Raw genomic sequence first — 26,729 nt, 5'->3', positions numbered from 1 at the left:
ATAATGCTGTAGCTAGACCGCCCTCACATACAGAAAAAGGAATATCCAAATTAAGATGCCTCCCTTTTCAAAGCTGCAAAGCATACAAATAACCCAAATAATAATCAGAAAAATGACATAGTGTAAAAGGATTCTGTAAACAAATATTTACTTAATACCTGTGCTCTAGCATTACAGTTGGTATTAAAATTAAATCTTAAGAAAGTCACTAATAAGTTTAGAATTAAAATAGAAATTGATTGTTTTAAAGCAGGTAACAGGTTTACCTTCTACATATGAAGTAGATCCAATAAGTAAGTTTTCCTTGGAAATCTCAGTAACTTTAGAATCAAAAATGGAAGAGTCTGCCAAGCTAGTCCTCCCAGTAGTGGATGTTAATACACTATTTTCAGCCATGATTTGTATTCTTCTAAATCAGCTGAAAAAATAAAATTTGAATAAAAATACATAAACATGGTCATTGGGCAAAAGTAAGTATTAGAGGCTCTTTTTACCTAGAATTTATAAAAAGTATTATTACCCATTTTTTTAATGAACCAAAGAAAGTCACTGACCTTCTCTGAGCCTCAGTTTCTTTTTCTGTAAAATAAACATACTAATACCTGACTCACAGGAATATAATAAAAATAACAATGTATCAAAAGCACATAGAACATTACTAGACATACAACAAACACTCAACTGTAGTCATAAATATTATTCTACCTCCCTTCTCCACACCTTTGCCCTCAACCAATTTCTCTTCCTATATTCAATTATAACACCACCATAACACACCTCCCACAAAAATCCTAGCCAAAAATCTGAGATCTATCCTAATTTTTTCCTCTCCCACATTTCCCTCCCCAAAATTCCTATCAATCCCACCTCAAGTATCTCTGGAATCTGGCCCCCCTTCTCTATACGTTCAATGACACAATGGTCACTTGGTCTAATAAACCAGCTCCACACAACTTTACCATCAGTTTCCTTAGAAATCACTCTCCACATGGTTTTCAGGAATATGCACCTAAATACAAATGTGACCATATCACTTCCCTGCTTAACAACTTCCATGAGTACTCCTTATATGTCCAAGTCCAAATTCACCACCAAGTTCACAATTTGGTCCCCGCCTAACTATTCACCCTCACCATCTGTAACTACCCCAGTCCCTATACAATCTATGCAACAGCAACAATGAATTTCTCAGCTATTTTTCAGGCACAAATCATAATTTACATCACATCTATTTGCATTTAGTGCTCGACTCTCCACCTATCTTGTCTTCCAACCCCCAATCCAACACTCTTGACTCATCCTCTGTGGATGTCTCTAAACCTCTCCGGTATAATTGGGCTGGTCCCTTGTCAGTATTTTCATAATTCTTTAAAAACACCTCTCCCCTAAAAGGTTTGACAAAACAATTATGCATGGGTGAGTGCCAATATAACTCTGGACTATGAAAGAAAATCCTTTTTTAAGTTTTCCAGGACTTAAGAAGAGTTTAAAAGCTAGACAGGGAATAAAAGGTTTAACAAGTTTTCATCAGGGTGGGTTGGGGGCTCACATCTGAAATCCCAGCACTTTGGGAGGCCAAGGCAGGAGGATCACTTGAGGGCAGGACTTCAACACCAGACTGGGCAACATAGCAAGACCCCATCTCTACAAAAAATTTAAAAATTAGCCAGGTGTGGGTGGCAGGTGCCTATAGTAGCTACTCAAGAGGCTGAGGTGGGCGAATCACTTGAATCCAGGAGTTTGAGGTTGTAGTGAGCTGTGATCCCACCACTGCACTCCAGTCAGTCTAGGTGACAGAGCAAGACCCTGTCTCTCTAAAAAAATTTTTTTAGAGATTTTTTTATCAATTTTCAATAAGTCAACTTTACTGAGAGTAAATTTCTAAATATTAGGCAAATATACAGAGGACCCACCTTTAACGAGAGCTACATGTCAGACTTTCCCCTTTCCTACTTCTTCAGATTAATAAAATATACAAATACCTTCCTCCAGAGTCTTAGCAAAGTAACAGTTTAAACTGTATGCTGTTATGTGACACTTCAAAATCAGGCAACTCAGCTTCCTGTCTCAGCCCTGCACATAGTCAGTTAAACCTCAGTTTCCACATTGGTGGAACACACATAGTACTACAACTCAAATCTAGTTAAGATGAAAACTGAATAGATGTCTTAAAGTGAACAACAAACAACTATTCTCATGTAATATTCACAATATGGATATTTCTTATGGCTTTACCATACATCCATGTCAATCATTATTCTAAGGCTCTCCAAAGGAGCGGTCCAATAGTTGTAACAGCCTTAATTTAGAATCAATGATAAATTCTATCCAGCCCTATTATTTTAAGTCTTCTACACTCAACCATTTCCAATGAAAAGGCATTAAAGTGGCTTTCATTCAAAGTCCCCTTAAAAGAATGTTTAAAAAAAAAAAAAAGTCAGGAGATGAGCTAACCTGCTTTAAGGACTGGAAGAGGAAAATCAAAAATACCATTTGAAAGGCCGGACGCGGTGGCTCACACTTGTAATCCTAGCACTTTGGGAGGCCAAGGCGGGCGGATCACGAGGTCAGGAGTTCGAGACCAGCCTGGCCAACACAATGAAACCCCGTCTCTACTAAAAATACAAAAATTAGCTGGGCTTGGTGGCAGGCACCTGTAATCCCAGCTACTCAGGAGGCTGAGGCAGGAGAATCGCTTGAACCCGGGAGGCAGAGGTTGCAGTGAGCCGAGATCGTGCCACTGCACTCCAGTCTAGGTAACAAGAGGTAGACTCCGTCTAAAAAAAAAAAAAAAACTTCTTGAAAATATTTACATTTTTCTCCTATGCCTCCCTCTTTAAGAGGGAGCACAGCAAATGATCAAAAGCAGATGATTAATAAAAGGGAGGGAGCATAGCAGATGATCGAAAGCAGATGATTAATAATTAAAATTGCCCCTGATGATACTGTATATGATCAATTTATTGCCAAAACAGCTTCAAAATGTATAGAGAAAAAGAGATGCACTACGGTAACTTGATGACATAACTAACATCCAACAGTCAGATTAGAAATGGAAATATATTAATCACTTTTTTTCAAATTACTGTATTCCAGAAGCCTTTAAAATAAGCACAATAGGATCAGTGTTCATAAACCTACACAGCTTCTCACCCAAGAACAGACCCAAGGAGCTTCTAACTAAACACACTATAACACATGCCCCCTTTTATCCCAGAGATAAAATTTGCCATGTAAACAAACATTCAAGTTTCCTTTTACTTAAATACTTTTTAGGCAATCATCTTCCAAGGTGAAGGACTAAAATGCAATCCAAGATATAATGGTGGTGTTATTAACAATAACATTACTATTAACAACTGACATTTACTTAACGCTTAATACGTGGCAGACATTGTCCTAAACCTTTTAATCTCTGCAGTAATCCTAAGAGGCAGGTACTATTATTATTTTCAATGTATGGATGAAGAAACGTAGGAACAGAGAGGTTAAGCAACTTCCCCTAAGTCAAACTGTTAGTAAGGGGTAAAAGAGGTATTCAAAGCCCGGCTAAATCCAGAGGCTGCGCCTTTAACCACTAAGCCGGACACATCTGTGCCGGGTGGCTGGGGAGGACGAGGGGCGGATGGCCTGGATTTATCTTGCAAAAACGAAAAATTAAACTTCCCGCAAAGAAGCCAGGATGAATCCTAGAATAAAACCACGGCGCACTCTGAGATAAGCCCCCAAAGGCTGCAAGTGCCGGCCCCCAAAGCCACAGGGCTGCGCGGCTTGCCAAAATCCCTTTCCCAACTCCCTCCCTTCACCCACACTCTTCTGTCCAAAAGAGCCAACAGGTGAGGGCGAAGATGCCCAGCAATACTGGGGGCTTCGGTCTCCCACTCCGCGTCAGGGCCCGGCTGCTGGGGGTGGGGTGCGGCGAGGGAGTTCCCGGATCCGGGAAGCCTGAGCTGGGGCGCTCCGGAATTCGCGGTCACTAGGGGCGGGGACGTCGACCGCAGGCAAAAGAGCCCTTGGCTCTGGAGCCGCTCGCCCACTTGCACCTCTCTCACTCACACAGAGTCCTTACCACTCTCAAAAAAGCCCTAGGAGTTCCACCTCTTCAAACGCCGACTCCTCTCACAAATACCGCCATTCCTCGCCGGCGGCCGCCACAACCGATTCAAAAACTAAGCTGCTCTCTCTAAGAGCCATGCCGATTGGCGCGTGATGTCAACCTCTTTCCCATAGGCAGGAGTCTCCAGAGGGGCGGTGATTGGTCGACGCTCTCCAAGTCCCGGCAGGCGCCGCTTGATTGGTTGTGCGTGTGTTTCAAATAAGCCCAACGACTCGGGCGTCGGGACGCCAGGAGTTTGCAGAGAAGTGCCCGGATGTGGCCAGGAGGTGGCGGTGGTGGCTCCTGAGGTCTTAAAGGAGTAGCAGGTGTTTCTGTGACTACCGCATATTTACTCAGTAAACATCCTACTTCCTGAGGAAAGTTTGGGTGGATTCTCCTCGGCCCCACCCAGCTTTTTTTTTTTTTTAAACGATACCAAATCTTTTAAGCTTAAATCAGTGCCGCCAGAGATAAATGTTTCCCTGCTGCTTGCTGTGAGCTGTAGGATTTTCCTATCGGGATGCTTTCTGCTTTAGGAATGTATTTAAATTTGAGTTAAGGGATTTTGACTTTGATGGTTGTATTGGCGTGTGGCAGGGCCAAGGACCGGTCCTAGAACTCGGACTCCCCAGGTGGACTTCAAATCAGCAGCCGCTTATTTAAATGCTATTATTTAAAGCACTGCGCTCCCATCTAGGGAGTATCGCGGGTTAGAATCAATTCTTAGAAATTAGAAAAATTCTCGGATTTTTTTAAAGATAAGCTTGAATTTGATAAAAATATGCCACGAGATTCTAGAATTTTTGGAGCCAAATTGCTTCGTCTTTGCCCCCCTCCGCCCACTAAGAACTTGTACTTTCCCCTAAAGTCTAGTCAAGAATGTATCAAGTTTTTCCTGTGATTAGCGTTGCTATTATGAAAATAATTTCTTTATTTTCTAAATATGATACCATATAACACAATCTCTTAAGAAAAATACACCCCCACCAGGTGGGTTTTCCATAGTTCCCACCTGAAGGCTAATATAAATAGAAGAAGAAAGGGGAATCAGATGCCAGAACCTAAATACCAATAAGAAGAGGCAAACGTGTACTTTGGGATGGAACACTTGTGAGCATCTCAAGCAGGTTGTGGGGACTTAACAATTTTTTCTAATTTTGTCAGGCAATCTTAGAATGCCTGAAAAGTTTATAATGCTGTCCACAAAATGAATGAAGCAATCTGGTAATTATTGGTTTCCCTGCTTGTCAGTATTTAAGTCTGACCTTCATTAAAATGCTGTGATAACTGTTACGGCAGAAAAAAAGAAAAACAGTAATTGAAATTTCCATTTGGAATGTGCTTGCGTATTTGGAAGTCGGGTGTGCCCAGCATTCCAAAAACGTTCATCACTGAAAACATATTAAGCTATTGTGGGAAGCAGCCCTACTTCCTTTGTGCACCGCTTTCTGCTCAACAGACTTTCCAAAGCTAATGATTAACTGTGTATGGTATCATTGCCATGAATTTTAAGCTTCCCTAACAAAAGCTGTACTTGATTTCTTTTAAGGGATGTGTGGCAGTTAGATTAACAAATAAACGGGTAATACAACCTTTTTCACTCTCTTAGGTCTTCATTTACTCAGCAAATATTTACTAATTTTAAGACAGCCATTGTGCTTGTTGGGGTTATAAAGATGAATAAGGCATAGAAAACTGCCTGTCTGGACCACACAATCTGGTGAGGGAAATTAGCAGATAAACAGATAATTACAGTATAAGGGAGAGAAGAAAGAGAATGAACATACTGATACTTTACTATGCACTTTATACCTTATTTAATCCTTAAAACAACCCACAAGTAGGTATCATAGTCCCATGATACCATGAAACTGTAGGAAAGGTTTAAGTAACTTACCCAGTGTCTCCTAATAAATATTTTAGCCCGCATTAGAACCCAGAAATAATAGATGAGTGTAAATAAAGTCTAGTATAGATCTGTCTGCAGGCTCAAAGAAAGCAATGTGGAGAGGAGTATTTCAGATAATCGTGTGCATAGGTGATCATATGCCACTTAATTGCACCTAGCAGAGGGCTGGTGTCTGGTAAAGTAAAACATGATCCCTCATCTTCAGGTATTTTCAAAAAGCTAGTACTGCAAAGGCAAATGTTACACATTGCTCTCTAATAAACACAGGAATCTTCACATGTAGGTACCAAATAAATATTTCGAGAGTGAATGAGCTAGATCCAAGTTCATTCATAATGTTTGAGAGACTGGATGTCCTGATTAACCTAATCATAGTTTATTCATTTAATAACTATTAAGCACCCATTAGGTACTATGCTAGCACTGAGAATATAGGTGTGACAAGACAAATATGGGCCTTGTTCTCATGGCACTTCTAGCAGATAGCTGTATTTGCGGTGAAAAATTTATTGCATGCATAGGTTTTCACAGAATTCAAATACCTACAAAACAATGATACAAGTAACTTAGTCTTACTGAGTCAGAAGCTGTTTCAAGTGCTATAGTGTTTCAAGATCAGCATTATGAAAAATTTTTAAATACTATATACGGCATAGGCAATTGAACTGAATGGCATATTAACCTTGAACTTTTTTAAAAACATAAATTCTTAATATTAGCTTGTTTACGTGCACTTTAGGCTCTCATAAAAGCTCAATATATATAGGAGACAGTAAACAGTTTGGTGTGGCTGGATCATAATATACATGAAGAGGACAGTGGAAGACAACTGACATACGCTAGGTTAGGCTAGGTGTGGGGGCTCATGCCTATAATTCCAGCACTTTGGGAGACTAAGGCAGGAGGATCCCTTGAAGCCGGGAGTTCAAGACCAGCCTAGGTAGTGACTGCACTCCATCCTGGGCGATAGAGCAAGACCGCCCCTCCCCCCCACCATCCAGCCCCCATCTCAAAAAAAAATAAATGCTGGCCAGGTGCAGTGGCTCATGCCTGTAATCCCAGGCATGAGATTACATGCCTTTGGAAGGCCCAGGCGGGCGGATCACGAGGTCAGGAGATCGAGACCATCCTGGCTAACATGGTGAAATCCTGTCTCTACTAAAAATACAAAAAAATTAGCCGGGCGTGGTGGCACGCGCCTGTAGTCCCAGCTACTCGGGAGGCCGAGGCAGGAGAATGGCGTGAACCCGGGAGGCGGAGCTTGCAGTGAGCAGAGATTGCGCCACTGCACTCCAGCTTGGGCGACAGAGCGAGACTTCATCTCAAAAAATAAAAAATAAAAAGTAAAATAAATGCCATGTTAGAAGGAGCTTGGGAAGAGCTCCACTGTCATGACAGAGTTTAAACTTTATGCTGAAAGCACTGAAGATCAATTAAAAACCTTGAAGCAAGGAAATTATATGGTCTGTGTTATTTTTTAAAAGTAGCGATCAGGACCAGACACAGTGGCTGACATCTGTAATCCCAGCACTTTGGGAGCCCAAGACGGGCGGATCACCTGAGGTCAGGAGTTCGAGACCACCCTGGCCAATATGGTGAAACCCCGTCTCTAAGAAAACTACAAAAGTTAGCCGGGCGTGGTGGTGCGCACCTGTAGGCCCAGCTACTCCAGAGGCTGAGGCAGGAGAATCACTTCAACCCAGGAGGCGGAGCTTGCAGTGAGCCGAGATCACGCGACTGCACTCCAGCCTGGGCAACAGAGCGAGACTCCGTCTCAAAAAAAAAAAAAAAAAAAAGTAGCAATCTGGGAACACAACACAACTTCACTTGAAATAGAAGAATGAAATAGAAGAAAGACCAGTGAGAATATGGTTGAATTCAAACTCATAGGAAATGATAGTCTGAACTAAGATAGAAAAGATGGGTTGGAGAGATAAGGAATAGGAAAAATTACTGGGACTTTGATTAAATATAGAGGATGAGAGTGGAATCAAAATATGTAAAAATTACTACATCCATATAAATTTCTGATAAATAGCAGTATCATTAAATAAATAGAACAGTTTCCAAATTCAGAAGACTAGTTCTCTGTCTTTCTTCCTTTGATGAACCAGCCAATTAGATTCACAGTTCCTTGAATTTTTGAATCCCAAAACCTCAATTCAACACTTATTTTGATGGACAATATCCTAAATGTTTTACACTCAATTGCTTTAGCTCTCAAATGTTAACTTCAAACATTCCATTCTGATTACGAAATTTTCTTCCCATCTCTTAATCCCTTTCACACATGAATCAAGGATATTTAGCCTTCAGTTCCCCCTAATGATAGCACCCCTTTCTAACCCATGGTCATTAATTCAGCTGCTGAAAGACCACCACTTTCACTGTCTTACTTCTCTTCCTGCCTCTCTGATGTTTCCTTCTCGGTTTCCTTTGCTTAGATATTATTGTTCCCCAAAGTATTATTCTCAGGCAACCCCCTTTCCCTAGGTGAACTCATTCATTCCCAGGGATTTAAGTTATATGCATATGCTTCCACGTCTCTCTTTCTTGCCAGACCTTGTTGAAACCCACTCTATAATGCCAGTTGTTTACCAATTTTTTCTGCTCCTGTGACCCACAATCCTATCAAACTCTTCATGTGCTAAAGTGAATTCTTCTTTTCCCCAGCTCTCCATCCTTTATCTCCTCTGCCTCTTGTATTTCTCTCCTGATTAGTAGAATCCCCATTCACTCTGACTCCCAAGTTGGATCTCTCAAAGTCATCTTCCTGTTCCCTTCCTCCTCTTGGTCTCCCTGCACCACCAACCCCAACACCATTCTCCCAATTTGACCTGAAAAATATTTCTAGAATCTGAATCTTCCCCCTTCAGTCCACTGCCCGAGTTTAGGCCTTCATTATCTCTCATCCAAACTATGACAAGGACAGCCTTCTAGTTGGTCTTTTGGGAACTAATCACTCTCTCTACTTCCAGTCATCAGTCACAGAATTATCTTCATTTAGAAAACTAAATATGACTATGTATCCCCCTCCTTAAAAACAAAACTAAACCAAAAGACATGGTTTCTTCACTGCTCACAGAATAAAGTCCAGTATAAGATGGACTTCCCAAGATGACTGTAACCTAATTTTCTATCACCCTCATCCCTACCACATACGCACCCTGTGTTCAGCCATACTGAACTTTTCGTCAGTCCACAAACATTCCAGGCGATTTCCTAAATCCCTACCTTTGAATATTCTTTTCCACCTGCCCTGCCTCCCTCTGTCTGCATGAAAATTCCTATTCATTCAGGACCCCACTCAAGCATCACCTCAATGAAGCCTTCTTTGACTATCCCATGGAGAGTAAACTGCTTCTTCTGATTTGTATGAGCTTAATACTGTTTATACCTCAGTATGGCTCCTGTCACCTTGTATTGGAAATATTGGTTAACATGGCTGTCTCCTCTATTAAAATATGAGCTACTCAAGAATAGGGAAAAGAACCATATCCTTTCCATCTTTGTACCCTGGCACTTGTGCTCTCAAAAAATATCTATGGAGGCTGGGCACGGTGGCTCACCCCTGTAATCCCAGTACTTTGGGGGCTGAGGTGGGCGGATCATTTGAGCTCAGGAGTTTGAGACCAGCCTGTGGCAACATGGAGAAACCCCATCACTACCAAAACTACAAAAAATTAGCTGGGCATAGTGATGCACTTCTGTGGTCCCAGCTGCTCAGAGTGGGGGGATGGGGTGGGAAGGTCTCTTGAGCCCAGGAGGCAGAGGTTGCAGTGAGCTGAGATCAAGCCACTACACTCTAGCCTGGGCAGCAGAGCACGACCCCATCTCAAAAAAAAAAAAATTATGGAAAAGAGGAAAGAAGGGAAAATAACCAGATTTTTTAGTAGTTTGATTTCTGTCCATATCTTATTTCATGTCAGAGGCTGGCTGGGGTTTCTGCATCTTTTTTTTCCATCGGTAAATTAGCAGCCATGAATACTCCTTCTCTACTTGTTACTGTTGCTTTATCAATTGTTCATGATATCAAAATAGGTCAGTAAGTTCATGTTGACTTATTACTGCATATTTCTACTTATTAACTTGGTTACGGTTTTGTGTATAAATTGGAATAAATTATCTGCATACTAAATATTAGAACATGCTTTCTAACCCTATGTGTTTCTCTTGCTCTTTTTTTTTTTTTTTTTTTGAGGTGAGATGGAGTTTGCTCTGTCACTCAAGCTAGAGGGCAGTGGCACCATTATAGCTCACTGCAGTCTCAAACTCTTGGGAACTCCTGGGCTTAAGCAATCCTCCCACTTGAACCTCCCGAGTAGCTGGGACTATAGGTGTGTGCCACCATACCCACCTAATTTTTTTTTTTTTTTAATTTCAAGAGATGGTGTCTCGCTGTTTGGCCCACACTAGTCTCGAACTTCTGGGCTCAAGCAATCCTCCCACCTCAGCCTCCTGAGTCACTGGAATTACAAGGCATAAGCCATCACACCTGGCTAACCCTATGTTTCCTAAAAATATGTGATAACTCTTTCCCCATGATTATGGGGTATCTTAGCCCATTTCATTGCTATAAAGGGATACCTAGCTGGCCATACTGGCATGTGCCTGTAATCTCAGCTACTCAGGAGGCTGAAGTGGGAGGATCACTTGAGCCCAGGAGTTCAAGGCTGCAGTGAGCCATGATTGCACCACTGCACTCCAGCCTAGGTGACAGAGTGAGATCCCACTCTAAAACAATTTTTTTTTTTAAGATGGAGTCTCACTCTGTCATCCAGGCTGGAGTGCAGTGGTGTGATCTTGACTCACTGCAACCTCCATTTGCCGGGTTTAAGTGATTCTCCTGTCTCAGCCGTCCTAGTAGCTAAGATTACAGGCACATGCCACCACTCCTGGCTAATGTTTATATTTTTAGTAGAGACAGTGTTTTACCATGTTGCCCAGGCTGGTCTCGAACTCCTGACCTCAAGTGATCTCCCCACCTCAGCCTCCCAAGGTGCTGGGATTACAGGCGTAAGCCACCATTCCTGGCCTCATGGCTCATGGTTCTGCAGGCTGTACACAGTGCCAGCCTCTGCTTCTGGTGAGGCCTTTGGAAGCCTCCACGCATGGTGGAAATGGAAGGGGAGCTGTTTTGTGCAGAGGCATCACATGGTGACAGAGGAGGCAAGAGTGAGAGGATGGAGGTGCCAGAGGCCATACTCTCATTTTTAGAAACAAGGTCTCACTCTGTTGTTCAGACTGGAATGCTAATCATAGCTCACTGTAACCTCAAACTCCGGGCTCACCTGCCTCAGAGTCCTGAGCAGCTGGGACTACAGGCATGAGCCACCACACCTGGCTTGGACTCTTATAAACAACCAATTCTTGCAGGAACTAACAGAGCTAGAACTCATTCATTACTCCCAGAACAGCACCAAGCCATTCATGGGAGATCTCCTCCATAACTCAAACACCTCCCATTAGTGCCACCTCTAACACTGGAGATCAATTCAACATGAGGTTTGGCGTGTCAAATATCCAAAGTATAACAGGGGGTAATATTCAAGGAATGTGGCTTAAAATAACGTGAGCTAATGTTTCACTCTTAAATCCCCATAGCTTAATTGCTGAAACCTGATTTCTTCCAAGTCAGTTTTCCAAGATTGCTTATGCAAATTGCCTCAAAGTAGCTACCAACACTGTTTACTTCTCTCTGTGCAGACATGAACTGAAGAGCTTCCCACTCCTAGTCTCTTAGCCTGAACAGCTCCCCAATACTTCTTCGTTTCCCTGGTTTTTTGTCTTAGCCAGCCCCTTCTGCAGTGCAACTACCAGGTACAGACACTTTGACTCACACGCTGTCATTCCCAAGTGGGCCTCTTCTCCTTGGGCCACCATCACTTTGCAGAGATTTCACACCTTGGGGTCCCCGAACACTTCTCTACAATAGGCTTCCCCTGTCTGCTTGAGAGGCTCTATAGCTTTAGAATAGGGAACCCGACTCCCTGGGTTTCGACCCGGCTTTTCCATTTCCTAGCCATGTGACCTTAAGCAAGTTATTTTACATCCCTATACCTCAGTTTGGTCTTCTGTAAAAGGATATGATAGTACTTATCTCAAAGTATTGTTATGAGAATTGAAGGAATTAATATAGATAATTGAAACATTTTAGCACATAGTAAATATTCAATAGATGTTAGCTGTTAATAGTACCATTATTTCTGCTACTATTATGGTTGCTGCTACTCTTACTACTATGTTATCTCAGCTGACCTGTAATTGCCTGATGGAAATGGTGGCTCTCTATGCTGCCTTCCCACCCCTGACCGCAGGAGCAATGGCACCTGTGCTGCTGTTCCTCTCTCCCCACCCTACCCTATCCACAACACCTGCCCCCACAACACCAAGGCTGCCACAGGAAAGACCACCATCAAATTCTTTTTTTTTTTTTGAGATGGAGTCTCACTCTGTCACCCAGGCTGAAATGCAGTGGCAAGATCTCGGCTCACTGCAACCTCTGCCTCCCAGGTTCAAGCGATTCTCCTGCCTCAGCCTCCTGAGTAGCTGGGACTACAGGCACCTGCCACCACGCCCAGCTAATTTTTTTTTTTTTTTTTTTTTTTGTATTTTTAGTAGAGACGGGATTTCACCATGTTGGCAAGGGTGATTTCAAACAGCTGACCTTGTGATCCGCCCGCCTCGGCCTCCCAAAGTGCTGGGATAAGAGGCATGAGCCACCGCACCTGACCCACCATTGAATTCTTTTCTCACCAGGAGGCACAGTTCCTTCTTCTATACCAAATCTAATAGTCCTCTTTTTTTTTTTTTTTTTTTTGATTCAGACATTCTTACTAAACCCTCTTGTTTGTCAGGGAAACCTTGCTGCACCTAAGCTGTCTCCTCCTGTCTGGAAGATGTGGACTGCTTGCTGTGGCCCTTGGCCAGTCTTCTGTGCCCTTCCAACACAGATCCTAGCCAAGATTCCTTATGTTAAATGTTAGCCTCTCCTCCAGGTCCCTTCGCTGGAAGTATTATAATTATTGAATTCATATGTCAACGGGACAAAACCTGTTTAAAGCTTGTATAGGATATATACAATGAACTTGTCATTGTGATCACATTATAAATACATATATATCAACTATAGGCTGGGCGCGGTGGCTCACGCCTGTAATCCCAGCACTTTGGGAGGCCGAGGCGGGCGGGTCACGAGATCAGGAGATCGAGACCATCATGGCTAACACAGTGAAACCCCGTCTCTACTAAAAATACAAAAAAAAAAAATAGTCGGGCATGGTGGCACGCGCCTGTAGTCCCAGCTACTCGGGAGGCTGAGGCAGGAGAATGGCGTGAACCTGGGAGGCGGAGCTTGCAGTGAGCTGAGATCGCGCCACTGCACTCCAGCCTGGGTGACAAAGCGAGACTCTGTCTCAAAAAAAATATATATATATATATATATACATATATATATATATCTCAACTATAAAAAAATATGTAATCTACAATACCTAAGATGCTGAATGAACATGTTTTAGCCACAAAATAGTAAAGGAATTGAAGTACTTAGTATATTGAAGAATATGATGTATTTTCCCCCATGCAATACAATAATTTTTGATGTGGAGGATGGAACTTCTTGTGGAGGAGCAGCTTCCCCATCTGCATCTCCAACCGGATTCACTAACACTCTGGACCATCCTTCGGGATCCCCATCTCACCCTTGTTCCTCTTCCAGTTTACTCTTTCCTCTGTATTCATATTTCCTTTCCTCTCTCCCCTCTCCCCTCCATATCCATCTTTCTTTTTTTCATCTATACTCCCTCAGAGAAGCAGAGAATGGCCAGTTTAGGAAAGTTAGTATTTGTTATGGTGTATCTACTCCCCCCCACCAACCTCGTTCACAAATGTGAACACTGCCAGTACAATCATTCATCAAATCAGAGTAAAGCTTTCTCACACCCTTATAGTTTGTTCTAGTCTACTAATGAGAACTGGTATATTTGAAAAATTATTAATTTTCTTACCAAGATGATCTAGGCAACAATTATTGTGGTGGGCTTTGTTTTTATTACCTAAAGTTACAACAAAATATAATTTATAGATTTTACTTCCAAATATGAAATGTTATATAATCAAGCAGTAACACTGTTTTATGGTAAATTTAAATCTTTCATCATAGGATTAAATGTTTTACTTTACCTAAATATTAACATCGTAATGTCACCTAGACCTCATGTAATTGTTTCTCTCCTTGTATATTGCCATTCCTACCCTGCAACACATTCATTAAGTACATAGCTGTACATAATGCCACACTAGGTACCACTACAAAGATTCAGTCCCCCCCAAGAATTTATTATTAAAGATTATTATTTCAAAAGTTTTAGTGAATGATCATGGAGTTCTGTCCTTTTTTGGAATTATTAACATTTTCCAATTAAAATGTCATATTTCCAAGTTGGTTGTAATATGGCATCTTCTAACCTGTTATCTGTGCCTATAAAATAAGCTTTAGAAAGTATAATCACAGTGAGCCAGAAGAAGCTATTCTACACACTTCAATAGTCCGTAAATTAGTATAGGAATTGTTGCTTTATTCATCTGAACCATTAGGCTATAAATCACTTGACACATACTTGCAAGACTCTACAAATTTAGCACTTAAAGTTTCATTTGGAAGAATAGAATTAGCTTTCTATGAAGGAGCAAGAGGTTTCCAGATATGACAAAGCTATTATTTCAAATTATGTAATTGAATTAGTAAAATTTCAGATACGGGAGGGAAAAAAATCTCAGCTCCTTAGCCTCATTCTTCATTTAACAGATGAGTTTTACCAAGGCCAGCAACATAGAGGTTACACTCCTTTGCCGAGGTCAGGTAACTAGTTATTGACAAAACCAAGATCAAAAGTTTTATTTCCATTAGTCTAGTCTTCTTGCTATAGATATTTATATTTTATATTGTACATATAAAAGTACCGATATCTTTATTCATAATACATATATGTTTTGCCTTTGAAATAATTAAGATGCTTTCAGTTCTGTAAGAGCCTTTTTGGTCTTATTCACCAATGTATCTCCATATCTCCAGCACTTAGCAACACAGCACATTCCTGACAGATAGTAGTCTCAAAATTTGTTCCAAGAATAGCATTGTAACTGATGTCCAATAATTAATACTGCCTTCATCTGATCCATTCTCTAGCCTGCATTCAGAGTAACATTATGCAAGTCTAAACAGATTATGTCATCACCTCCTTAAAACACTTCAATCCTACTAGGCCTGCATGGTCTGACCTCTATCTGCTTCTCCAACGTCATCTTATACCATGTTTACTTCCTTTCTCTTAGGTCTAACTATACCTGCCTTCCTTCTAAGCATTTTTTGCACCTGCTCTTCTCTCTACCTATCCTTCTAATCCCCATTCCTTTAACCTAGAGTAGGCAACTACTACTCATCTTTTAGTGCATGCTCACTTCCAACTCCTTGAAAGGTCTTTTCTAACTACCCACCTTATCACAACCCTCACTCACACCCCCCAGCACCATGAGTATCTCTTTTGTGGTACTTGATGTAATTACTAGATTAATGTTTGTCTCTTTCACTATCTAAGCCACATGAAAGTAGGGACAATGTCTTTTTGTTAACTATTTTGTCCACAGTGCCTGACAGATACGAGGCACTCAGATATTGCTGAAATAACAAGGGAATGAATTAATATATAAATAAGTTTATTCTCCTTATAATATCAGTGGTGCTTTTTCCAAAGATAATAAAGTTTCAATTATTTTTACTTTTATCTAATCCATTATTTACGACAAATTTTCCTGTTGTTTCTTACTAGGTATGATGGATGAAGTGGCATATTTCCAAATTAATAAATTTACATCTTTAATTGACGTTTGAGTATATTATCTAAGAATGACATGATTTTTGTACCATAGCCAGCCCAGCTATGAATGGAAGAGGGTTAATGCTAATGCTACTCAACTAATTCAATTAAGACTTGCCACTGTTTATGAACATAGGCAATTATCCATATCAAAAATTCCATTTTCTTACAACCTATGCTTTCATAAATTATACATAAGTCTACATCTGTAAATGGCCTCTTCCACACCATCAAGTAACTTTCAAACATGTGAGGTATCCCAAAGTGTTAATTATGACAATAACTCCATCTTTGTAGAATAGTATTTTCTATGACAATAATTTGAATACCATGATTTACTTAGCAATAAAATTGTTACAGTTCAAATGAATTGAAAAATGGAGTTGCTAATGCAGTTGAAATAAAAATAGAACCTAGGCCATCAAAAAATGGTGGATATTTGACCTGGATTGTATGCCCACTTCAAAATACATGAAAGGCAAATTGATAGAATTAAATGGAGAAATAGATAATTTCACAATCATACCTGGAGATTTTAAGACCTTTTTTCTTTTCTTTTTCTTTTTCTTTTCCTTTTTTTTTTTTTTTTTGAGACGGAGTCTTGCTCTGTTGCCCAGGCTGGAGTGCAATGGTGTGAGCTCAGCTCACTGCAACTTCTGCCTCCCAGGTTCAAGCGATTCTCCTCCCTCAGCCTCCCGAGTAGCTGGGATTAGAGGCATGCACCATCAAACCTGGCTAATTTTTGTATTTTTAGTAGAGACAGGGTTTCACCATGTTGGCCAGGCTGGTCTCGAACTCCTGACCTCATGATCTACCCACCTCAGCCTCCCAAAGTGCTGGGATTACAGGAGTGAGCCACCACACCTGGCAGAACTGTTTTTCATTACCTGATAGAAAAGCTAAATAAAATCAGTAATGAGAAAGATAACCTGAACAACCTATTAACCACCCACCTAGCAATTGCAGAATATGTATTTTTTTCAGGGACATATAGTATGTGTCTTAAGGGTAAACCATACTCTGGACCATGAAAGATGTCTCAAATTTTAAAAACTGAAATCATACAGAGTCTGTTGTCTAACCACATTGAAACTAAATTAGAAATGAATAATAGATACCTAAGAAACCTCCAAATATTGAGAAATTGAACAACCCATTTATAAAAGCCATGGGTAAAAGAAGAAATCACTAGAAAACATATCTAGGTGAATAATAAAAAATAAAACATTAAAATTGAGGGGTACAGCTAAAGCAGTACTTAGAGGAACATTTTTTAGCTTCAAATGGTTATATGAAAATTTAAAAAGAAACAAATCTAGAATGAATAACCTAAGGTTCCACCTTAAGGAGATACGAAAACAATAGCAAAGAAAACCTAAAATGAATAACAGCAAGAAAAGGGAAGAAACCAATGGGACAGAAAAGAGACAAACAATGAGAAAATTAAGAAAACCAAAAGTTAGTCTTTGAAAAGATCAACAAAACTTATAATCCTCAAGTTAAATTGGTCAAGGAGCTCCCGCACAGTGACTCACACCCGTAGTCCTAGGTCATTGGGAGGCTGAGGTGGGAGAATTGCTCGAATCCAGGAGGTCGAAGCTGCAGTGAGCCATGTTCATGCCACTGCACTCCATCCTGAGTGACAAAAGAGAGACCATGATTCTTAAAAAAAAAAAAAAAAAAAAAAAAAAAATTTGTCAAGGAAAAAGAAGGAACAGAAATGAATAATATTAGCTGAAAAGTGGGGTTGTCACCACAGATTCTACAGAACTTTTTTTAAGAGACTAGGTCTCCCTCTGTTGCCCAGGCTAAAGTGTTATGGTGTACTTATAGCTCACTGTAGCCATGAACTCTGGGGCTCGAACAATCCTCCTGCCTCAGCCTCCTGAGTTGCTGGGACTACAGGGGCAACAATCTCTGTGTGTTTTTTTGTTTGTTTGTTTTTTGTTTTTTTCCGAGAATCTCCCTATGTTGCCCAGGCTGGAGTGCAGTGATGTGATCTCAGCTCACTACAACCTCCGCTTCCCAGGCTCAAGTGATTCTCCTGCCTCAGCCTCCCAAGTAGCTGGGATTACATGTACCCGCCACCATGCCCAGCTAATGTTTGTGTTTTTAGTAAAGACGGAGTTTCACTATGTTGGCCAGGTTGGTCTCAAACTCCTAACCTCAGATGACACGCCCACCTCAGCCTCCCAGTGTGCTGGGATTAGAAGCGTGACCCACCACACCCGGCCTAATTGTTTTACTTTTGAAGACATGGCATCTCCCTTTTTTTTTTTTTTTTTTTTTTTTTTTGAGACACAGTCTTGCTCTGTCTCCCAGGCTAGAGTGCAGTGGCACAATCTCGGCTCACTGCAAGCTCCGCCTCCCAGATTCAAGCGATTCTCCCTTCTCAGCCTCCCAAGTAGCTGGGACTACAGGTGCCCGCCACCATGCCTGGCTAATTTTTTGTATTTTTAGTAGAGACAGGGTTTCACCGTGTTAGCCAGGATGGTGTTAGCCAGGATGGTCTTGATCTCCTGACCTCGTGATCTGCCCGCCTCGGCCTCCCAAAGTGCTGGGATTACAGGCGTGAGCCACCGTGCCAAGGGCGTCTCGCTTTCTTGCCCGGGCTAGTCTCAAACTCCTGGGCCCAGTAGATCCTCTCACTGCAGCCTCTCAAAGTGCTGGGAATACAGGTGTGAGCCACTGTGCACGGCCCAGATTCCACAGATATTAAAAAGATAATAAGAGTGTTATGCCAACAAATTGTCAACTTAGATAAAGTGAACACTCTTTGAAAGATATACCAAAAAGTTTCACAAAAATAAACAGAAAAACCGAATAGCTCTATACCTATTATTAAAATGGAGTTAATTAACCTCACACACACACAAAAAAAAACAGATTTAATAGGGAACTCTATCAAATATTTAAGAAATATTTAACACTATCTTTATATGAACTAATTCAGAAAATAAAAGAGAAGCGACCGTTTGTTTTATGAGCTTTGTGATACCCCAGTACAAAATCCTGAGAAAAGAACACTACAGAGAAAGAGATAAACACCACACCAATATCCCTTTTGAAGGCAGATGAAACATAAAAGTTAACAAGGCTGGGCGGAGTGGCTCACGCCTGTAATCCCAGCACTTTGGGAGGCCGAGGCGGGCGGATCACGAGGTCAGGAGATCGAGACCATCCTGGCTAACACGGTGAAACCCCGTCTCTACTAAAAATACAAAAAATTAGCCGGGCGTGGTAGCGGGCGCCTGTAGTCCCAGCTACTCGGGAGGCTGAGGCAGGAGAATGGCGTGAACCCGGGAGGCGGAGCTTGCAGTGAGCCGAGATCGCGCCACTGCACTCCAGCCTGGGCGACAGAGCGAGACTCCGTCTCAAAAAAAAAAAAAAAAAAAAAAAAAACCCGTCTCTACTAAAAATACAAAGTTAGCCAGGCATGGTGGCGTATGCCTGTAATCCCAGCTACTCGGGAGGTTGAGGCAGGAGAATCGCTTGAACCCGGGAGGCGGAGGTTGGGGTGAGCTGAGATTGTGCCATTGCACTCCAGCGTGGGCAACAAGAGTGAAACTCCGTCTCAAAAAAATAAATAAATAAATAAAATTAAAATAAATAAATAAATAAAAAAGTTAACAAAATACTTGTGGATCAAATTCAGCAATATATAAAAAAGATCATCCATTATGATCAAATAGGGTTTATTCCATTCAAAATATAATCAATGTAACACACTGTATTAACAGAGTAAGGAGAAAAAGACCTTGTGATCATTTCAATAGATGTGTAAAAATGATGTAATAAAAATAAACACCCTATGGAGACTAAAAAGATCAGTGGTTGCCCGGGGTTAGGAGAGAGGAAGGGAAGAATAGGTGGAACACAGAGGATTTTTAGGGCAGTGAAACTATTCTGCATGATACTGTAATGGTGCGTGCCCTTATAAGTTTGTGCAAACCAATAGACTGTGTAATACCAACAATGAACCCTAATGTAAATTATAGATTTTAGGTAATAATCATGTGTCAATGTTGCATTTCATTGTAATATATGTACCACTCTTTTAGGGGATGTTGATAATGGTGAACTTATGCACGTGGGGGGGCAGGCAGGAGGTATATGGGAAATCTCTGTACTTTCTGCCCAATATTGCTGTGAACCTGAAATTGCTCTAAAAAATCATCTATTCGGCCGGGCGCGGTGGCTCAAGCCTGTAATCCCAGCACTTTGGGAGGCCGAGGCAGGTGGATCATGAGGTCAGGAGATCGAGACCATCCTGGCTAACACCGTGAAACCCCGTCTCTACTAAAAATACAAAAAATTAGCCTGGCGTGGTGGCGGGCGCCTGTAGTCCCAGATACTCAGGAGGCTCAAGCAGGAGAATGGCGTGAACCCGGGAGGCGGATGTTGCAGTGAGCCAAGATCGCGCCACTGCCCTCCAGCCTGGGCGACAGAGCGAGACTCCGTCTAAAAAAAAAAAAAAAAAAAAAATCATCTATTCAAAAACAAGTAAACATTCATGATAAAAAATTCTCAACAAGCTAGAAGTATGAGAATTTTCTCAATATGTCTTCTATGAAAAAACACTGCCAAGATCACATTTAATAGTAAAATATTGAATGAACAAGTCGAAAATGCCCATTATCACTACCTCCATTCAACATCTTATTGAAGGTCCTATTCCTTGCAATAAAGAATGAAAAACAAAGAAAAGGCCTAAAGATCAGAAGGAAACAAGGAAAACTGCTTTAATTTGCAGATGATCTAACCAATTCATAGAAAATTCTAAGGAATCTACAAAACTACCCATAGAAATATTTAATTGAGTTTAATAAGGTTGCAGAATGCAAAATTAATATACAAAAATCAATGATTTTTTTAAAATATAGCAATCATCTATTGAAAAATGAAATTAGGTAACAACTTCATTTATAATTCATCAAAAAATATAATATGGCCGGGCACTGTGGCTCATGCCTGTAATCCCAGCATTTTGGGAGGCCAAGGTGGGAATTGGGAGTATCACTTGAGCCCAGGAATTCGAGACTAGCCTGGGCAACATGGTGAAACCTTGTCTCAACAACAACAACAACAACAATAAAAACAAACATTAGTGGGAGTGGTGGCTCACTGTTGTAATCCCAGCTACTGGAGAGGCTGAGGTGGGAGGATCACTTCAACCCAGGAAGTTGAGGCTTCAGTGAGCTGTGATCACACCACTGCACTCCAGCCTGAGTGACAGAGCAAGACCCTATCTCAAAAATGAAAAACAAAACCATAATATACTTAGGAATTAATTTAACAAATGACATGCTAACCCTCTACACTGAAAACTAGAAAACATTACTGGGATAAATTAAAGACCTGAAAAATTGGAGAGATATACCATGTTCAAGGACTGTAAAGCTCAATATTGTTAAAATATCAAACACAAATTGGAAGATAGAATAAATCCCAATCAGGATCCCAACAGACTTTTTGTAGAAATTGACAAGATGACTTTAAAATTTGTTGAAAATCAAAGGACCTAGAATAGCCAAAGTAATCTTGAAATAGAATAAAGAGGACTTCCATTACCTGACTTCAAGACTTAACCTAAAGCTACACTAGTCAAGATAGTGTTGTACTAGCATAAGGATCAACAAATCGATAAATAAAACAAACAGAATGTCTGAAGACTGCTACCCTTATACAGCCTTCTGACTTCTTATAAAGGCACCAAAGCAATCCAGTGGGGGAAAGGAGAGTCTTTTTGACAAATGGCATGGAAAGAAATAAATATTCACAAAGAATGAATCTCTACTCTTATCTCACACCATACATACAGATGACGACTTTGAGATAGATTATAGACCTAAACATGAAAGCTAAATTGTAAAGGTTTTGGAAGAAAAATAGGAAAATATCTCTATGACTTGAGTCTTGGCAAAGATTTCTTAGACAAGTCACAGAAAGCAATAACCATGAAAGAAAAAACTGATAAATTAGACCTCATCATAATTTCAAACAAAGAAACCACTAAGAAAATAAATTATGCAGTCCACAGACTGTAAAAAGAATTTACAAAACATATAGGTATGCATATGTTTTACACACACACATATACATCTTCAACATATATCTAGGAGATATAAATCTAGATATATAGTTATAGATATTTATGGGATATAGATCATATAGAAAATGATGTATATAGACATACATGTGTATCTCTGCCTAGATTTCTTATACCGCAATAACAAAAAGCTAATAAACAATGGATAAAAGTTTTGAATAGATATTTCATGACCGAATATAAACTATGGCCAATAAGCACCTGAAAACATGTTCAAAGTCATTAGTCATCAGCAATATGCAAATTAACACTAAAATGAAATAGCACTATACACACTCTAGAATGGATAAAATTAAAGAGACTATTGTTCTTAATTTAGAAAAATTAAAAAATATTTGGTGAGGATGTGGAAAAATCAGAACCTTCATACATTGTGGGCAGATAGAAAATGCTACAACCTCTTGGGGAACAGATCTGGCATACACCTGTCCTACAACCTTGACACTTACCCTAGAGAAACCAATACATGTATCTATGAGAAGACATATGAGAGTATTTACAGCAGTTTTAAAACTGCAAAAAACAAGCAAACAAGGTGTGATTTGCCAAGCACCAGAGGGGCACAGAAAGGCAGATAAATTCCATATTTTGGACAATAGGAGTGAGTTAGTGGAAACCTAAAATTGTCATGATTCTAAAAGTGTTTAACCTTTACTCTAGAGAGAATGAACAAATGGGTACCTTATGAAATAATTTGTAGGGTTATGTGAGGATTGTATGAAATAGTGTTGATTAGAACAGTGCTTAGAACAGTGCCTGACACCTAGAAAGCACTCAATAAATGCTCTTGCTATGATCACTTACTTGGCAAATATTTATTAGGTACTTCTAAGCCAGGCACTATGTTAATCACTGGGGATAAAATGACAAAACAAACTGATGTAGCCTGATCTAGACAATTTAATTCCAATCATGCTGCTTTCTTTTCTGTACAACTGGAGTGCACAAGGCAATACCATAGAGCATGATACCGTTCATGACAGAGAGGCAATTCTGTGTTAATATGTATGACAAAGAAAATGTTCCCCAATGCATACTAATATGAAGGTTGTGATGCTTAATATAGTCACAGACGTGATCAGGAAAAAAAAAACTAATGCTTTATCTCTCATTATTTTTATCTTCTCTTTCACACATAATTGAACTTATTTTTTAGAGGCTATTAAAATATTAATCTATTTTCTCCTTCATTAAGTGTAATTTCCTTTACTTTTTTATCAACATTTTGCATGCTTCCTTTCTTTTGAAGATCAAATGAAGCTGCTATGTATGAGTTAAGATGTTATCAATATTTTCAAATTACATTGTTTCATTTTTCCTAATTAAAATCCTTTTTGTTGTTGTCGTATTTTTTTTTTCATGAATGTGACTGATCAAGGAATTGGTATGTATTAAATCACTGCTCCTCACCAGGTGCAGTGGCTCACACTGATAATCCCAGTACTTCAGGAGGCCAAGGCAGGAGGATGGCTTAAAGCCAAGAGTTTGAGACCAGCTAGGCAACACAAGACCCTCTCTCTACAAAAAAAAAAAAAAAAAAAAAAAAAAAAAATCACCACACTGAGAACACCAAAGTGAAATTAAAAGCCAAGAATGTGTTATCATGTACCCAACTGTTAGTAGTAAATACCTCTGAACACCATTTCTATATTGCTTCATTTTTTAAAATTGTGAACATGGATTACTTTTATAATATAAAACTTGGAAAAGCAAAACAGCCCAAATCGTGCCATTTTCTTTATTAAGCCTTTGACTTCCTCTTGGAGACCAGTGACATATATCCAAGAACCTTTCCATGAATTTTGAAGGTCTTTTACTAACCCTTCCCCCAGCAGAATGAGCAAACATATTTTAATGCTGTGAAAATAAGGAACATAAGTTGAAAGAACCATTTCCTTTAAAAAGTCTTGGAATACTTTAAGGTAGAGACCACAATGCTTATCTGAAATTTCAAAATAATACTAATCATCATCTACACATAAACTTTACATATAATTGTGAAAATCTCAAAGAAAAAGCTTTGAGTGTACAGTCTGTTAGTCTAGTCCATTATCTCGTTAGGGTTGTAATGAAAATACTATTTTATTAATACTATCTTAGGTCTCTAGAGAAAAATCAAATTTATGTGTAACAAGATTATCACAGGAAAAATAGTTTTATGTAAAATAGACTTTGAACTATCCTTGAGCAAGCTCTGGCTTGATTTCTTGAGTGCACTTTAAAATTTCTCAAGACACAAAAAATTACATATTATTGTGGCACAATTCCTATTATTGAATCAGGAAAAGGTGACTTAGGCTTTGGCTTTGTTTCCTAGGCCATAGAAATGAAGGGCTAGGTTCTAGTTGGCCATCTTTGACTTAAGACACATTACTGGGCTTTGCCTCCACCTGCTTCACCTGGTGGTCCTTTTTATATTTCCTCCCATGGGGACAGGTACTGCCAGGTATGAGGCATCCCATGGTGCTCGCCCGCCCTTCCTTCTTTTCTTTTCTTTTCTTTCTTTCTTTCTTTTGAAACTGAGTTTAACCCTTGTCGCCCAGGCTGAAGTGTAATGTGTGATCTCGGCTCACTGCAACCTCTGCCTCCCAGGTTCAAATTATTCTCCTGCCTCAGCCTCCTGAGTAGCCTGGATTACAGGTGCCCACCACCATGCCCAGCTAATTATTGTATTTTTAGCAGAGACAGTGTTTCATCATGTTGGCCAGGCTAGTCTCCTGACCTCAGGTGATCCACCTGCCTTGGCCTCCCAAAGTCTGGGATTACAGGCGTGAGCCACTGTGCCCAGCCATCTCTCCCTTTCTCATAGGCCCTGAATAGGTCAGGCTGAGTCAAAGTGTGCAGGGCTCCACCACATTTATAAAGGATGAAAATCTCCTTCACAATACTGGGTCCAATAAAACCTCATTTTCTGTAGTTTTCTAATGTTTACCTATATGGGCTACTCATCAGGATCAGTGGGAAATTTAACCCATCTCAGCTCATTTCTCAAGGAGTGAAGATAGTGCAGGCAGGTCCCACCTTCTTTCTAGGATCACAAAAAATCTGTGGCATGATGTACAATCCAAAAAATTTAGGGGAAAGGACTCTGGTCTTCAGTCCGTTTTGACCACCTCTGAAGTGTTGTCAATGCTTGCATAAATTATTAGCAGGCAGTCACCTCTACTGCTTTCACTTGAAGCTCAAGTAAGAGTATCTTATTTCCCGAAACCATGACACTTGTTCAGTTCCCAAGCATCACCAAGCTACCCTCACTGAGAGTTTATTCCTTCTCCTGGAGTGCCATGTGGGAGTGGATCAGGGATTCCCATCACTCTCACATCTGTCTTCAACGTGTTTCAGGAAAAATACACTGGAATTCAGATCAGAATCTATCTTCACCTCAGAATCTGTGTTCGCCCTCTCCTCCTTCTTCCCTCCAATGCTTCCGAAGCACAAAATGGTTTACTTCCTTGAGGGCAAACAAGGGAAATGGGGATGTTGATAGGGTCTTCAATATCCTGGAGCTTTTCAAAGAAAGGAACTTTCATTCCTAGATGTACTTTGGGTAATGATAATTCATTCCATTAAGTATCTAAACATGAGTTACTATATGATACTAAAAACAAATTAAATGTAAACATTATTGATTAATGTAAACATTGAAGCACATAATAAAAGTTTCATAATTATTAAAATCACAAGTCTAATAGATTATCTTAAATAGTATATACACATCTAACAAGCTAAAAAACACAAACATATTGATTATAAAACTTATTGTTATTTTTATACCTAAAGCAGTTAAAAAGTATTAATAACACAGATTTAAATTTGTGATGTTTTTATTTTTGCTTTTGAGACAGAGTCTTGCTTTGTCACCCATGCTGGAGTGCAATGGCACATTCTTGGCTCACTTCAACCTCTGCCTCCTGGGTTCAAGTGATTCTGCTGTCTCAGCCTCCTGAGTAGCTGAAATTACAGGTGCCCGCCATCACACCCAGCTAATTTTTGTATTTTTAGTAGAGACGGGGTTTCACCATGTTGGCCAGGCTGGTCTCAAGCTCCTGATCTCAAGTGATCTGCCAACCTCAGCCTCCCAAAGTGCTGGGATTACAGGTGTGAGCCACTGCACTGGCCTAAATTTGTGATTTTTGTTATTTCTACACTATTCTCGTTATTTCTCATTCAGTTTAGGATTGAGAACTATTAATCCTAATTAATATTTAGGATTAATAGCTTAAATATTAGGATTACAGAAATATTAATTATATTAATTAATATATTAATATGATTACAGAAATATTAGTTACCTGTAGGGTTATAATTCTAAATGGAAAAAACAATAAATGTCAATGCAGATTAGCCAAGATTACAGATTCTGGATTGTCAGCATATTGAACTTGCTTGTACCTTTCAAATCTGAGCTGCTGACCTCCAGGCTGTATTGCCTTTCCTATGAATTTTTTTGTGGCATAGACTCTGATGTGGCACTTAGGTCCTTGGGCAGATCAAAACAGAATCAATAAGCACAGTGGGGATAAATCATGGAATGTTAGAGCTAGAGAATGCATTAAAATCAGTCTCTTCTCACTTCACCTTCTAAATGAAGAAAAGAAAAGGAAGCAGGCCAGGTGCGGTGGCTCACACCTGTAATTCCAGCACTTTGGGAGGTCCAGGCGAGCAGATCATGAGGTCAGGAGATCAAGACCATCCTGGCTAACACGGTGAAACTCAGTCTCTACTAAAAATATAAAA

General features: G+C 40.1%; 1 protein-coding gene across 48 annotated transcripts in view, besides 4 other annotated features; it reads right to left on the bottom strand.

Annotated features, from left to right (window-relative positions):
- The window catches only part of ECT2 (epithelial cell transforming 2), a 78,540-nt gene extending 74,339 nt beyond the window's left edge, over nucleotides 1–4,201 (bottom strand). For 12 of the 48 annotated variants that reach the window (XM_047447621.1, XM_047447633.1, NM_001349098.2 and 9 more), the window contains exons 1-3: nucleotides 4,070–4,201; nucleotides 2,455–2,777; nucleotides 267–418 (exon numbers count right to left, since the gene is read on the bottom strand). In XM_047447621.1, the coding sequence (XP_047303577.1) occupies nucleotides 267–396 (130 nt within the window). In that variant the 5' untranslated portion in view covers nucleotides 397–418; nucleotides 2,455–2,777; nucleotides 4,070–4,201. Of the gene's footprint in view, nucleotides 1–266; nucleotides 419–2,454; nucleotides 2,778–3,810; nucleotides 3,926–4,069 lie in introns of those variants that run through there. The other 36 variants (XM_006713524.5, XM_047447631.1, XM_047447632.1 and 33 more) reach the window with 5 other exon arrangements.
- Nucleotides 3,786–3,855: a silencer, noted in NCBI's record as "silent region_14899". NCBI's record gives its function as "represses an Ori minimal core promoter by ATAC-STARR-seq in GM12878 lymphoblastoid cells {active_cell/tissue: GM12878}" and the evidence as "EXISTENCE:reporter gene assay evidence [ECO:0000049][PMID:35858748]".
- Nucleotides 3,966–4,225: an enhancer, noted in NCBI's record as "active region_20833". NCBI's record gives its function as "activates an Ori minimal core promoter by ATAC-STARR-seq in GM12878 lymphoblastoid cells {active_cell/tissue: GM12878}" and the evidence as "EXISTENCE:reporter gene assay evidence [ECO:0000049][PMID:35858748]".
- Nucleotides 4,246–4,295: an enhancer, noted in NCBI's record as "active region_20832". NCBI's record gives its function as "activates an Ori minimal core promoter by ATAC-STARR-seq in GM12878 lymphoblastoid cells {active_cell/tissue: GM12878}" and the evidence as "EXISTENCE:reporter gene assay evidence [ECO:0000049][PMID:35858748]".
- Nucleotides 4,396–4,665: an enhancer, noted in NCBI's record as "active region_20831". NCBI's record gives its function as "activates an Ori minimal core promoter by ATAC-STARR-seq in GM12878 lymphoblastoid cells {active_cell/tissue: GM12878}" and the evidence as "EXISTENCE:reporter gene assay evidence [ECO:0000049][PMID:35858748]".

This window comes from Homo sapiens, chromosome 3 (genome assembly GCF_000001405.40).
Source record: "Homo sapiens chromosome 3, GRCh38.p14 Primary Assembly".
Lineage (NCBI taxonomy): Eukaryota > Metazoa > Chordata > Mammalia > Primates > Hominidae > Homo > Homo sapiens.
This window is presented reverse-complemented; position numbering and strand designations above follow the sequence as displayed.